General features: G+C 40.6%; 1 protein-coding gene across 4 annotated transcripts in view, besides 2 other annotated features; it reads right to left on the bottom strand.

Annotated features, from left to right (window-relative positions):
- Positions 1 to 13,375, bottom strand: part of CHODL (chondrolectin) — a 350,031-nt gene that overhangs the window by 260,375 nt on the left and 76,281 nt on the right. The gene's annotated exons all lie outside the window — the stretch shown is intronic.
- Positions 11,794 to 12,294: an enhancer, noted in NCBI's record as "H3K4me1 hESC enhancer chr21:19367019-19367519 (GRCh37/hg19 assembly coordinates)". NCBI's record gives its function as "activates a minimal SCP1, AML or CMV promoter by ChIP-STARR-seq in naive H9 embryonic stem cells {active_cell/tissue: H9 hESC(naive)}" and the evidence as "EXISTENCE:reporter gene assay evidence [ECO:0000049][PMID:30033119]".
- Positions 12,295 to 12,795: an enhancer, noted in NCBI's record as "H3K4me1 hESC enhancer chr21:19366518-19367018 (GRCh37/hg19 assembly coordinates)". NCBI's record gives its function as "activates a minimal SCP1, AML or CMV promoter by ChIP-STARR-seq in naive H9 embryonic stem cells {active_cell/tissue: H9 hESC(naive)}" and the evidence as "EXISTENCE:reporter gene assay evidence [ECO:0000049][PMID:30033119]".

Genomic DNA, 13,375 nt, shown 5'->3' with positions numbered 1-13,375 from the left:
CAAATTAGAAAAAAGAAAAGTCCTTTGTTACTCATTTATAGGCTCACAGTTGCATCTGCAACATCAAGCCAAGAATCATTAGCTGATGGCCACATCTGAAGTGTCAGACTGAAGGCACCAAGCTGCTTAAGTGCTTCAAGAAGCTGCCAAATTGCAAAAGGGTGGCAGAGTGGACCGGAGGCAACATTATAATTCTGCCACTAGTTTCCTGGTAGTGAAGTTTTAAGTACTGGGAAGAGTTACAAAGGATGTGCATGAAATCTCTTCAAAAGATATTTCTCAATAGAAAGATAACCCTTAGTGAGATGGTCTAGGGGTAATCTCATCACTTTAAACCAAAATACCACTTGCTCTGACTCCAAGATCAGAATGAAAAGAATGTTTTGCATTAGAATAATACTTACATCACTTATAAACACTAAGTCCCTGTAAGGAATCTAAATATCAGTGTAAAGATAATTGTGTTTTCTTCTTTTGGTTTATTTGTCCCTCAATGCTCCTGTGAGGGAGGAAAGGTATCACACACAAGCAACAGAAGTGGCAGTAATGTAGATAGGTGAGAAGATCTTTGTTAGTTTCCATCTGGGGTGGAAGATAGGATCAGGAAAGGAGCTACATTTTTTTTTCTTTTTTTTTTTTCTTTTATTTTAAGTTCCAGGCATGTGCAGGTTTCTTACATAGGTACGTGTGCAATGGTGGTTTGCTGCACCTATCAACCCATCATCTTGGTATTAAGCCCAGTGTATCAGTCCATTTTCATGCTGCTGATAAAGACATACACTAGGCTGGGCAATTTACAAAGGAAAGAGGTGTAATGGAGAACTCACAGTTCAACGTGGCTGGGGAAGCCTCAGCAATCACGGTGGAAGGCAAGGAGGAGCAAGTCACATCTTGCGTGGATGGCGGCAGGCAGAGAGAATGACGGCCAAGCAAAATGGGTTTCCCCTTATCAAACCATCAGATCCTGTGAGACTCATTCACTATCTTGAGAACAGCACAGGAAAGACCCGCCCCCATAATTCAGTCACTTCCCCGTGGGTTCCCCCCATGAAACGTGGAAATTGTGGGAGTTACAATTCAAGATGAGATTTGGGTGGGGACATAGCCAAACCATATCACCCAGCATCCATTAGCTATTCTGCCTGATGCTCTCCCTTCCTCCATCCCACAGGCCCCAGTGTGTGCTGTTTCCCCCCATGTGTCCATGTGTGCTCATTGTTCGGGAGCTACATGTTTTCTAGGTGGATATGGATTCTGGTTAACTACAAAAGGGGCCTAGCTCCTCAAACTGGAACCAGTGATAGTCAAGCTCTTGGAGGAACCTCAGTGGGATGGAACATAACTTGCAAGTAAATTATGTGGACATGACTTACACAAAAGATGTTTATGATCTGAGAATGTCACGTCATTTGCCCTCTTCTGAACCTAATATTGCTTCCAAATAACTTTAACACAAACCTTTTTAGATCTGTGGGTTATAACAAACTCACAGAAATTCCTTCCAAGTGCTTGGGAGTTGATTTTAAAAAGAAGAAAAAAATTTCCTAAACAAGATGATTAAAAATTGCTTTTGAAATTGTCCTACCAGTCAAATGTAATTTAAAGTCTCTTTATTTTATTAAGCAAACACTTTTATAGCACTTACTATGTGCCAGACACAATTCTAGAGTGCCTCATAAACATTCCTCCTTTAATAGTTGTAACAGCCTTATGAATTATAGGTAAGAATATTATTCCTACTTCACAAATAAAGAAATTGAGACAACAGAGTAAATTGGCAGCTGGCCCAAGTCATGGTGCAAGGAAGTGGCAGAGCCCAGGGTTAGAACCCAGAGGATCTGGCCACAGCGTTCAGGCTCTTAACTACTCTGTTATGAGCTCTCAGAAGTGAATCTTTTTTTAACAAATGGCGTACACACCTGTATTTAAGTCCATATTCTCTATCTGTAAAATGGGGATAATATCGTCTACTCAAATTAAATGGGCTGAGGTATATAAAGCTACATTCAGCATAGTATTTGGCAACTAATAAGCATACCACACTGGCTGTTGCTAGTTTTATCACATCATTGGCAATAGTGGTAACAGGATATCATCACACACATAAAAATAACAATAGCTACTATGTTTAAGACCTTTAACTGTTGTTGTTTTTTTTTTTTTGCAATTTTTTACCTCATTTAATCTTTGCAACAATGTTGCAAGGAAGATATCATTTCTGTTTTACATATTTAAAATACATAAGACATCAAAGTCAAGTAATAAGTGTGAGACCTCATATCTATAAAGTAGTGTATGGGTATGTAAGAGTTTGCATGAGCTTTGTGAGAAAAAAATATAAGCCATGGGGCAGGGACATAGCTGCATCTGTGTGTGTGAGTGAGTGAGCTGAAGCAAACAAACAAAAAGATAAGCTGTAAAAATTGAATTGTCCTCATTTGACCTCTTCCCATTTAATTCAGATGATTGTATGCTCGATTTCCTAAAAGCCACGGGTACGTATTTCAGGTATGTCAACAAGCAAAATATTCACATCACTTTATTTTCCCAAGAGTATTTCTGTTGTAACTGATGTGTACGTGCTTTCTTTATTAATCCTTGAGAAAGATTTAATGTAGTATAAGTACAGTATGCTAATACATATTGATTTAGACCTTTGACACCACTTATAGAGGCTAAAACCTTCTTTGTGCTAAAAACCAATTTACATATTATTCTTGATCGCAACAGAGTGTTGTCTATTACATTATCCAATAAATACAATAAGTAATTAAGAACATATATAATTACAGGTCTCCTCAAACTAATGAAAACAAAATTTTTACCCATTTGACTCTTTTAAGGCCAGTAATGTTTTGCTTAGGTTTAGCTACTAAAAATTTTTACTTTATTAATTATTGTTTCTAAGAAAAAGGCAAACACTTTGAAGACAAAATAGGCCTGAGCACATGACCTTCCATGTCTTTTGCCTGAGTCACTATATTCCTTGAAAGACGAATGACCCTTGTTTTTGCCTTTTCCTACACATAAAATAATGTCTGATGGGGTTAGTGATTATACCTCTGTAATATATAATGAGAATTATTCTTATGCCCAAACCTAGATGTGATTCTGCTTTAATATAACTTCTGAGCAAGTGTGATGTGATTTTGTACATACTGAACCCCTAACACAGGTCGCTAAGCAGTGAGCTGAAGCCCTGTGCTGGAACGATCTGACAGAACTGCTCTTGGGTTCTAGGTCTCAGTCCTCAGTAGGACTTTTGAATAAAACTAACTTCAATTCTTTAAAAAAGAGAGAGAGACAGACAGAAAGAAACAGGAAAAAAAAGGACACAAATAAAATGTTTCTCTTAGCCACTAATGTGTGTGCACTTCCACAAGGCAGAATTAAAGAAATTGTGCATCTGCATTTTGAGTTATTTATAGAATAATTAACATCCCTTCAATATACTGTTAAATGAACACGCATTATTCAGTGAAACAATACATGTGAAGTGCTTAACAGTCTGCCTATCACTTAGAAAGCAATCAGTCAGTATTGGTTTTCATTTTTAATATTATATTTTAGATTAATATATTAATTTTTATAATTAATAAAATAAAATAATGTAATATATTATTATTTTTCTGAAGTCTTATAATCTGCCAGTGTGGAAGATATCAAAAATGCTTAATTTAAGTGAAAAGGTTTTTTACTAAGAGGTGTGTCACTATATATGATCCATCACTTGGGGAAAGTTTGACATGTACTGAGCAGCAATTCTCCTGACAACATTAAGGGAGAAAAGAGAAATGCACGAGAAACTAGATAAAGCTAGTGAAGTTGAACGCCTCCAGGGCTCTTGGGTTTTTTTTTTGTTTTTTTTTTTTTTGAGACGGAGTCTCGCTGTCGCCCAGGCTGGAGTGCAGTGGCGCGATCTCGGCTCACTGCACACTCCGCCCCCCGGGGTTCACGCCATTCTCCTGCCTCAGCCTCCCGAGTAGCTGGGACTACAGGCGCCCGCCACCTCGCCCGGCTAATTTTTTGTATTTTTAGTAGAGACGGGGTTTCACCGTGTTAGCCCGGATGGTCTCGATCTCCTGACCTTATGATCCGCCCGCCTCGGCCTCCCAAAGTGCTGGGATTACAGGCGTGAGCCACAGCGCCCGGCCGGGCTCTTGGACTCTGTCCCCAGGTGAAGAGTGTATCCATCCTACAAGCACCAGTGTCATTAATTCCCAGAAGGCCTCTCTGTCCATCAAACCATATTTCCATGATCCCTGTAAACAGCTCAGAGTGGAAGTGAGGAGGCGTCTTCCACTCCATGAGGCTATGGGGCTTGATGAGGTCTGCTAGGGCTAGGGCTAAGGTGGAGATATGTACTCCTGAGGGCTAAACTACTCATGATATGCTCATAGAGAACTAGCTCAACACCACCTGGAGATATCCTGCTTCAAAATCAGGATGAATCATATACTTCGTATGTCTCAGAGCAGCTATCTCACTGGAATCCATTCAAAGCCAGCATGTGACAAAAAGGTTTAAAATTAAAAGTAAATGTTTTTAAAAAATTAAAGAGAGAAGTATGTTTGAAATATAAAAATTATAATGAGGTTAGAACTAAGAGAAAATGGAAGGAAATTAGAACCCAGTTCTTTGTGACATCTTTTAAGACTGGGATTCTATCTGTTAGGAATCATTTCTACACTGGCTTCAGTAGCAGCTTGCAAATATAATTTTTAAAGAAGAATAAATAGCTAGGGTCAGTATTAAGTTTTAATCATTTAATTCACATAACTTGACATGTCCATAAAACAAGTGGATAGAATCATAAACTGATGCATTATGTTTATGATGTATTGTTTTCCAGCCTTTTTCTTATGCCCAAAGGAAGTTTTTAAAGTTTTATTTTCCCTTATTTGAACAATACCATGACAAAAGTACAGGTGAATAAAAAGTGAGTTACTGGAACAGACACAAACACGGGCAGCAATAAACAGCTGATTAGATATGTGGCCCAGTTTAGAAAAGCTAAACTTTAATTATTCAGATAGCTTTACTGTGAAAATTGGTACCCATTGATTTATTATTCTACACATGGAAAATAGACTATATCCAGATATTTTCTTCAAAAGTAACCTATTTTATATTTACTAACTTTGCCTAGGCTTTTCTTTTGTGACGACATGGACTATGGTAACAGGATTGTGGGAAATTAAAAAAAAAAAAAAAAAAAAAAAGAGGATGAGGCCAACGTATGGCATGAATTCTCTCTCTTCCTTACCTAGGCCTTTTTAACAACTTGTGAAGAAGCAACATGTAACAATGTAATATGCATGAATTCTCTCTCTTCCTTACCTAGGCTTTTTAAAAAAACTCACGAAGAAGCAACATATAACAATGTAATATAGTGTAAACGGGGACTAAATGTATTTTCTGGCAGCAGAAACATGTGTCTATTCAACAGTCCCTGAGTAATCCTTAGCATGATGGATCTGAATAAGCCATTATGACTTTTAACTGGCAAATGAGGCATGCCATTACACTGTATTTATAACAAAAAGAAAGGCATCCTTATGGACCATTTGTCTAGAGCCCTGTGGGCCCTTTAAACACACTCACAGGAAACATCCCCATGGAAGCAGCAAGACCAATAAGACCAAAGTCTGGCATGTTATCAACTTGTTTTCAAAATTCCCTGAAATGGGTGACCCTTGTTCTCATACACTCCGCCCTCATTAACTGAAAATGTCTTCTGGTTTTCAATTCAGCTATAGTCTAGAAGTCATTTGGCTCTTTTTCTTGCTTTCTTTTTTGACCCTGCCCTATCTTAACCCTGCAGTTGTTCTGTGGTCTCTGGCCTCAAGTCCTGTGGTTCCACACCCACATCCCATGTTACATAGGATGGCCCATGCCCAGTGTTTGAAATAGTCCCTGGTTTCCTACCTGGCCTATCCTGGACTCTGAGTATATCTCACACTAGATGATCATGATTATGATGAGCTTCTTCCATTTTTTTCTCCTTAAAAACAAAGGTAAAAAGTAGAGTGTGCTAAACTAATCTTTAGGATCAAGTTGCAGTCTGTTTTTCGGAAAGTTCAGTGTTGAAATTTGAAACCTATCTCAGGAAAAAAAAAGAAAAAGAAAAAGCTGTTCTGAAAGTCATGTTGAACTTTGAATTTTTGACCACTGTTATTTTTTATAATTAATATGAGTATTTATCACAGTGCTGTCAGCAGGTCCATATGAGACCCCTTTAATAATTTATTACCAGTGTGGGGATGCTAAAGAAGCCCTTCCTGCATGGAACAAGGAGAAACACTTTTTGGAAAATCAGGTAAGCCTTTTTTCTTATGACCCAAGGAAGTTTTTAAAGTTCACAAGAGACGAAGAACTAATGTGTTTCCATTATTTAAACAATGTCATGGTAAAAGTATAGGTGGGGGAAGAAAAGTGACTTACTAGAACAAGAGACACAAACAGGAGTGGCAATTAATAGCTAATTAGATATCTGGCCCAGTTAAGCAACTTATCGTCATCAAAGCTCATACAGGACTTCAGGAAACTAGGAAGATGGGCAGAAGAGCACTCCCAACTCCAAAATATCTTACAATTATAACACCATTAAAGTGTTATCATAGTTACATATTTTATGCAAGGCAAGGAACAAGCCTGTGACATTATTCTTTGCATTTAGCAAGCATCTAGGGAATCTCACCTTTGTAGTGAAAGGATCATCCTTTCACTACAAAGTTAGGATGGTCCTAACATAAACAGCTATTAAATTAGAACTCAGCCTCAGTTATGACTGAGGCCCTAAGTCAGAAATATTGATTACAGTCATGTTCTGAAGTGAATTGCCAGACCATCAAAATATAACAATATTTGAAAAACAGACAGCGAAAGCCCAATTTTGCAACTCTTATTTTAGCAATCGCTTTAAGTGTTTAAGAAGTTGAAACTAGATATTTGAGAGAGAATTTCTTTGGAAAAATATTGTTGGAGTGCTGCAGCTGTTTATTTCTTCTTTACTATGGAGAAAGAAGAGTATTTCTCTCCTCATCTTGAGCATGATTTAAAAAAAATTAACTTTAAAAGGCTCAGAGAGGTTGGTGTACATCTTCACACACGACCAAGCTGGAGACTGACAAACCATGTCAAGAAACTGCAGATGAGAGATTTTCTGGCTGAAGGAAGGTGATGTGGTTTGGCTGTGTCCCCACCCAAATCTCAGCTTGAATTGTATCTCCTAGAATTCCCATGTGTTGTGGGAGGGACCCAGTGGGAGGTAATTGAATATGGGGGCTGGTCTTTCCCATGCTATTCTCGTGATAGTGAATAAGTCTCATGAGATCTGATGGCTTTTATCAGGGGTTTCTGTTTTTGCTTCTTCCTCATTTTTCTCTTGCTGCCATCACGTAAGAAGTGCCTTTCATCTCCCACCATGATTGTGAGGCATCGCCAGCCATGGGGAACTGAAAATGCAATTAAACCTTTTTTTTTCCACAGTTTCACGTATGTGTTTATTAGCAGTGTGAAGACAAACTAATACAGTAAATTGGTAACAGTAAAGTGGGGTGTTGCTGAAAAGATACCCAAAACTGTGGAAGTGACTTTGGAACTGGGTAACAGGCAGAGGTTGGAACAGTTTGGAGAGCTGAGAAGCAGACAGAAAAATGTGGAAAAGTTAGGAACCTCCTAGAGACTTGCTGAATGGCTTTGACAAAAATGCGGAAAGTGATATGAACAATAAGGTCCAGGCTGAGGTGGTCTCAGATGGAGATGAGGAACTTGCTGGGAACTGCAGCAAAGGTGATTCTTGTTATGTTTTAGCAAAGAGACTGGTGGCATTTTGCCCTGCCCTGAAGATTTGTGGAACTTTGAACTTGAGAGAGATGATTTAGGCTATCTAGCAGAATAAATTTCTAAGCAGCAAAACATTCAAAGGTGACTTGGGTGCTGTCAAAAGCATTCTGTTTTAAAAGGGAAACAGCATAAAGGTTCAGAAAATTTGCAGCCTGACAATGCAGTAGGAATGAAAAACCCATTTTTTGAGGAGAAATTCAAGCCGGCTGCAGAAATTTGCATAAGTAGCAAGGAGCCTAATGTTAATCACCAATACCATGGGGAAAACATCTCCAGCCCATGTCAGAGACCTTCACCGCAGCCCCTCACATTACAGGCCTGGAGGCCTAGGAGGAAAAAGTGGTTTTGTGGGCTGGGCCCGGGGTCCCCAAGCTGTATGCAGCCTAGAGACATGGTGCTCTATGTTCAAGGCTCCAGCCATGGCTGAAAGGGGCCAACGTAGAGCTTGGGCTGTGGCTTCAGAGGGTGGAAGCCCCAAGCCTTGGCAGCTTCCATGTAGTGTTGAGCCTGTGGGTGCACAGAAGTAAAGGATTGAGGTTTAGGAACCTCCGGCTAGATTTTAGAAGATGTATGGAAATGCCTGGATGCCCAGGCAAAAGTTTGCTGCAGGGGCAGAGCCCTCATGAAGAACATCTGCTAGGGCAGTCCAGAAGAGAAATGTGGGGTCAGAGCTCCCACACAGGTTCCCTACTGGGGCACCACCTAATGGAGCTGTGAGAAGAGGGCCACAGTCCTCCAGACCCTAAAATGATAGATCCACCAACAGCTTGCACCATACACCTGGAAAAGCCACAGACACTAAATGCCAGCCCATGAAAGCAGCCAGGAGAGAGACTGTACCCTGAAAAGCCACAGGGGTGGAGCTGCCCAAGACCATCAGAACTCACCTCTTGCATCAGCATGACCTGGGTGTGAGACCTGAAGTCAAAGGAGATCATTTTGGAGCTTTAAAATTTGACTGTCCCACTGGATTTCAGACTTGCATGGCCCTGTAACCACTTTGCTTTGGCCAATTTCTCCCATTTGGAACAGCTCTATTTACCCAATACCTGTACTCCCATTGTATCTAGGAAGTAACTAGCTTGCTTTTCATTTGATAGGCTCATAGGTGGAAGGGACTTGCCTTGTCTCAGATGAGACTTTGGACTGTGGACTTTTAAGTTAATGCTGAAATGAGTTAAGACTTTGGGGGACTGTTGGGAAGGCATAATTAGTTTTGAAATGTGAGGACATGAGATTTGGAGGGGCCAGGGGTGGAATTATACGGCTTGGCTGTGTCCCCATCCAAATCTCAACTTGAATTGTATCTCCCAGAATTCCCACGTGTTGTGGGAGGGGCTGGAGGGGTGGGGGAGATAATTGAATCATGGAGGCTGGTCTTTCCTGTGCTATTCTCATGATAGTGAAAAAGTCTCAGGAGATCCGATGGGCATATCAGGGGTTTCCGTTTTCACTTTTTCCTCATTTTTCTCTTGCCACCACCATGTAAGAAGTGCCTTTCATCTCCCGCTATGATTCTGAGGCATGGCATCCCCAGCCATGTAGAGCTGTAAGTTCAACTAAACCTTTTTTTCTTCTCAGTTTCAGGTATGTCTTTATCAGCAGCATGAAAATGAACTAATACACAAGGTCTACATAGAATCTACTACCCATCTCCATATAATACAACAAAAGAGTCATTTTCCAATATCTGCCAAGCCCAGGGAATGTTGATGTTGGCTCGTAGCAGTACTAGCCTAGTATGGCCTTTCTTGCTCCCATCTTTGGCAAGTCCCTGGAGGAATCAGAAACACACACAGCAAGAAGACAGAGAAAAGGCAGAAGCCAAAGTGAGGAGGAAGGAAAGCTGGCCATGCCCTGTCTCCCTCCATACAGGTTTTGGATTGCAGCTTTGACTTTATATTAAGATTAAAGTTTTGATTATTCCACATATCTAGACATACCAGTTATTCAAGAGATTATTTGGAAGACAAATGCAACATGAGAATTTCTCCAGGAGAAGCAGAGTAACTAATCGCATATTATGAACTTAAAAGAAAGGTGGGAAATAAAATTAAAGTTGCTTTATAATTATCATTGGTAGTCTTATTTGTTCAATGTTCTGGTGACAAAAGTGATTTTTCATGTTTTTTTTAAAATCAGAATAAAATGTATGTTTCTCTACTAGTTAAATAAATGGTTTTAATTTTTAAAGTAATATGTATTTAGCTAATAAAAATTCTCTAATCATGTTTAATCTTTACCCTCATAGAATTTTATGATAGGAATCATATAAATTTAAAATTTTCAGGTTTCTCATAGGTTTCATCCAAAGAGTTTATGAATTTCTTCCATAAATTCTGCAAAAATAGTCAACCAGCCTCTGATTAAACACCTTCAGGTCTATAAATTCATGAAGTACTTCAGTCTTTGTTGAAGAGTGTTTATTATTAAAAAGTTCCTTTTCATATTCAAGATAAAATCCAAACACTTAGCCCCTCTACTACCTTGGCAGCTTGGCAAAAATACATTTATCCTTTAATTTCCAGGTCAAATCCCTCTGAGATGATTTTCCGGAGAGTCCATTTGATTCCCCTTTTTGGCATCCCCACTGAGTTTCTTACTTATGTGATGCCACTTAGCAGACTGTTTTCCATCTTCATATATTTGGCTGCCTTCTTCACTAGACTGAGCAGTTGTTAACCCACTCTACTGAGACCTGCAGAGGAGTCCAAGATAATCAGACACAGTTCATGCCCTCAAGCTGTATAAGTCCAGAGGCAAGGATACAGCATGTTCACAAGTACCTAAGAAAGGTGCAGATTTCTGAAGGAGAAACATTATTATTTAGTTTTTCTTCCTCTCTTGGTTGAGTACCTTCACTGTAGCCTCATGTTTTCCCTATTCTTTAGACTATAATTTACATTGAAACTTCAATTTACCAACAGGAGGTATTTGATCTTATCAAAAAGAATAATGTTCTGTCTTGGGGAACATGATAACCTTAATATAACTGACTGCATTTGAGTTAGACGCTCAAGGATGGGAAGCATGTGACCATAGGTAAAATGAGCCTTTGCAAAAAAAAAAATAAATGATGAGTCAAAAGTCACTCAATCAGATGCCACATAACATATACAAGAAATAGCAAGTCATTCAGTTCAACAGAAGCCCAGGATACATGGGTGAGATAATTGAGTGATCATATTGAAAAAGTAGGTTTAGCCAGAATACAAAATGGATCAAATACAGATGTAGGAGATACTTTCATCTCACCTGGAGGTCTGCAAAAGTAAATGAGATTTGGGGCTACACTTTTTACTCCAGAGGTTGAAAGAACTGATTCCTTCTCTCAATACTCCAGCAGTTAGGCCACAGGCATTAAACCCAGTTCTGACTGATCCAGTGTTCTTCAGCAAGACTCTAAATATGAAGGAAGTGACCTAAAGATGTAGGTACAGTTAGAGATAATTAAGGTGGTGGTGACAGCAAAGGCAGGAACCTAACTGCACAAGAGATGGGATTGTTGTTTAGTATCATTTAAGAATATGGAGACCAGCTTCAAGATGGCTGATAAGAGACATCTGGCACTTGCCTCCACCACAAAGAAGGACCAAAACAGCAAGTAGATAACCACATGCTGAATAGAGCACCTGAGAGAGAACACTGGAATTCAGCAGGGAAGTGACAGGGAGTGCTTGAAGCACAGAAGGAGAGGAAAGTGAAATAGCCAGCCTGGCTGGCATAAGCTCAGAGTGAGAAAGCACTCCCCATTTTGGGGAAAATGTAAGCAAAAAGGCCCCAGCAGTCTACATTCCCATGGCAGACTCCTGTAATCCTAGCCACAGGAGAGCCCCATGGCCCTCACATATCCTGAGACTAATATAGACAGTTGCCTGGAATCCATGAGAAGACATTTTTCCAGAGGAAGTTTGTGCCATGACCCAAGCAGCTACAGCACGGCACCATTTTGAGAGCCCAGTCCCCACCAGACCATATCCTGCCCTGCGTCCCAACAGGCCCTGAATTTCCAAATCTTGGGAGCTTTGGTGACATCCCTCTGTGGCTACCCAGAGGGCTGCAGCATCATGACGCTGTCTGGATCAAGGGGTGCGATCAGGTCCCTAGCACTCTGGCCCATGCAGTGCCCTACATCCTGGAGAATGGGCAGTACAGTGCACCAGCGAGGTTGCCCCACAAACAAAGGAAGCCAAAGTATTTGCTCCCCAGAGCCTGGGTCCACTGACACTGACAGCAAACCCACCTACTCCAGTAACCCCATCCCCCTCCAGTGGCAGGGTCCTCGCATACCTACATGTGCTGTCCCAGGACCTACAAACAGGCTCAATCTACTAACTGCCACTGCTGGCACCCACATACCACACACATTACCTGGGGGGTTGAACCCTGCCTTCTGCCATCGGCACCCACACACACCATCTGGAAGCCTGAGGACAGGTCTGTCCCACCTGCCACTGCCACTGCTGTCACTGACGCACATCATCCAGAAGCCTAGAAATCAAGCTGCCCTGACTACCGTTGCCAGTGCATACACACACAACCTCCACGGGCCTGGAAATTAGACCTCTCAGTCCACTACCATCAGGACACGTGTGGGCCATCCACAGGCCTGTGGGCACACATGCATGCCTCCCAGAGCCCCAAGGACTAACCCACCAAGCCTGCCTCTACTGCCACCAGTGCCCTCTCACATGACCCACCCAAGTGCCTGGGAATTGGTCCTCCTAGCATGACATTGCACTGGTGACCACACATGCTGCTGGAGGACTTGAGGATTGGCCTGCTCCCTCTACTGCCATTACTGAAGACATACACACCACCAGAAGGCCTAAGTAGCAGCCCACCCCAGCCCATCGCTGTCACCACCTGTACCCAAGCATGCTGCTGCAGGCCTGAGGACTGGTTCACACAGAACTAACACTGCCAGAGCCCAAGATTTCAAATAAACAATTTAACAAAGCACCTCAAGGAACTAGATAAACAAGAAGAACAAAACCCAAAATTAGAGGAAGAAAACAAATAGTAAAGATCAGAGCAGAACTCAATAGAGACCTAAAACACAATATAAAGGATTAACAAAATGAAAAGCTAGTGTTCTGAAAAAATAATCAAAATCAATAAGGCAATAGCTGAACTAACCAAGAAAAAAAGAAAGAAGACTCAAAAAAATAAAATCAGAAATGAAAAAGGAGACATTATAACTGATACCACAGAAAAGCAAAGGATCACTAGAAACTATTATGAAAAGCTATATGCTAACAAATTGGAAAGTCTAGAAAAAGGTTCTGGAGAAAGAGGAATGATCATACACTGTTGGTGGGAGTGTAAGCTAGTTCAATCATTGTTGAAAACAGTGTGGAGATTATTCAAAGACATAAAAACAGAAATACTATTCTACCTATCCATCCCATTACTGGATATATTCCCAAAGGAATATTAATCATTCTTTCCTGAAGACATATGCACACGTATGTTCATTGTGGCACTATTCTCAATAGCAAAGACATAGAATGAACCTAAATGCCCA

This window comes from Homo sapiens, chromosome 21, assembly GCF_000001405.40.
Source record: "Homo sapiens chromosome 21, GRCh38.p14 Primary Assembly".
NCBI lineage: Eukaryota > Metazoa > Chordata > Mammalia > Primates > Hominidae > Homo > Homo sapiens.
This window is presented reverse-complemented; position numbering and strand designations above follow the sequence as displayed.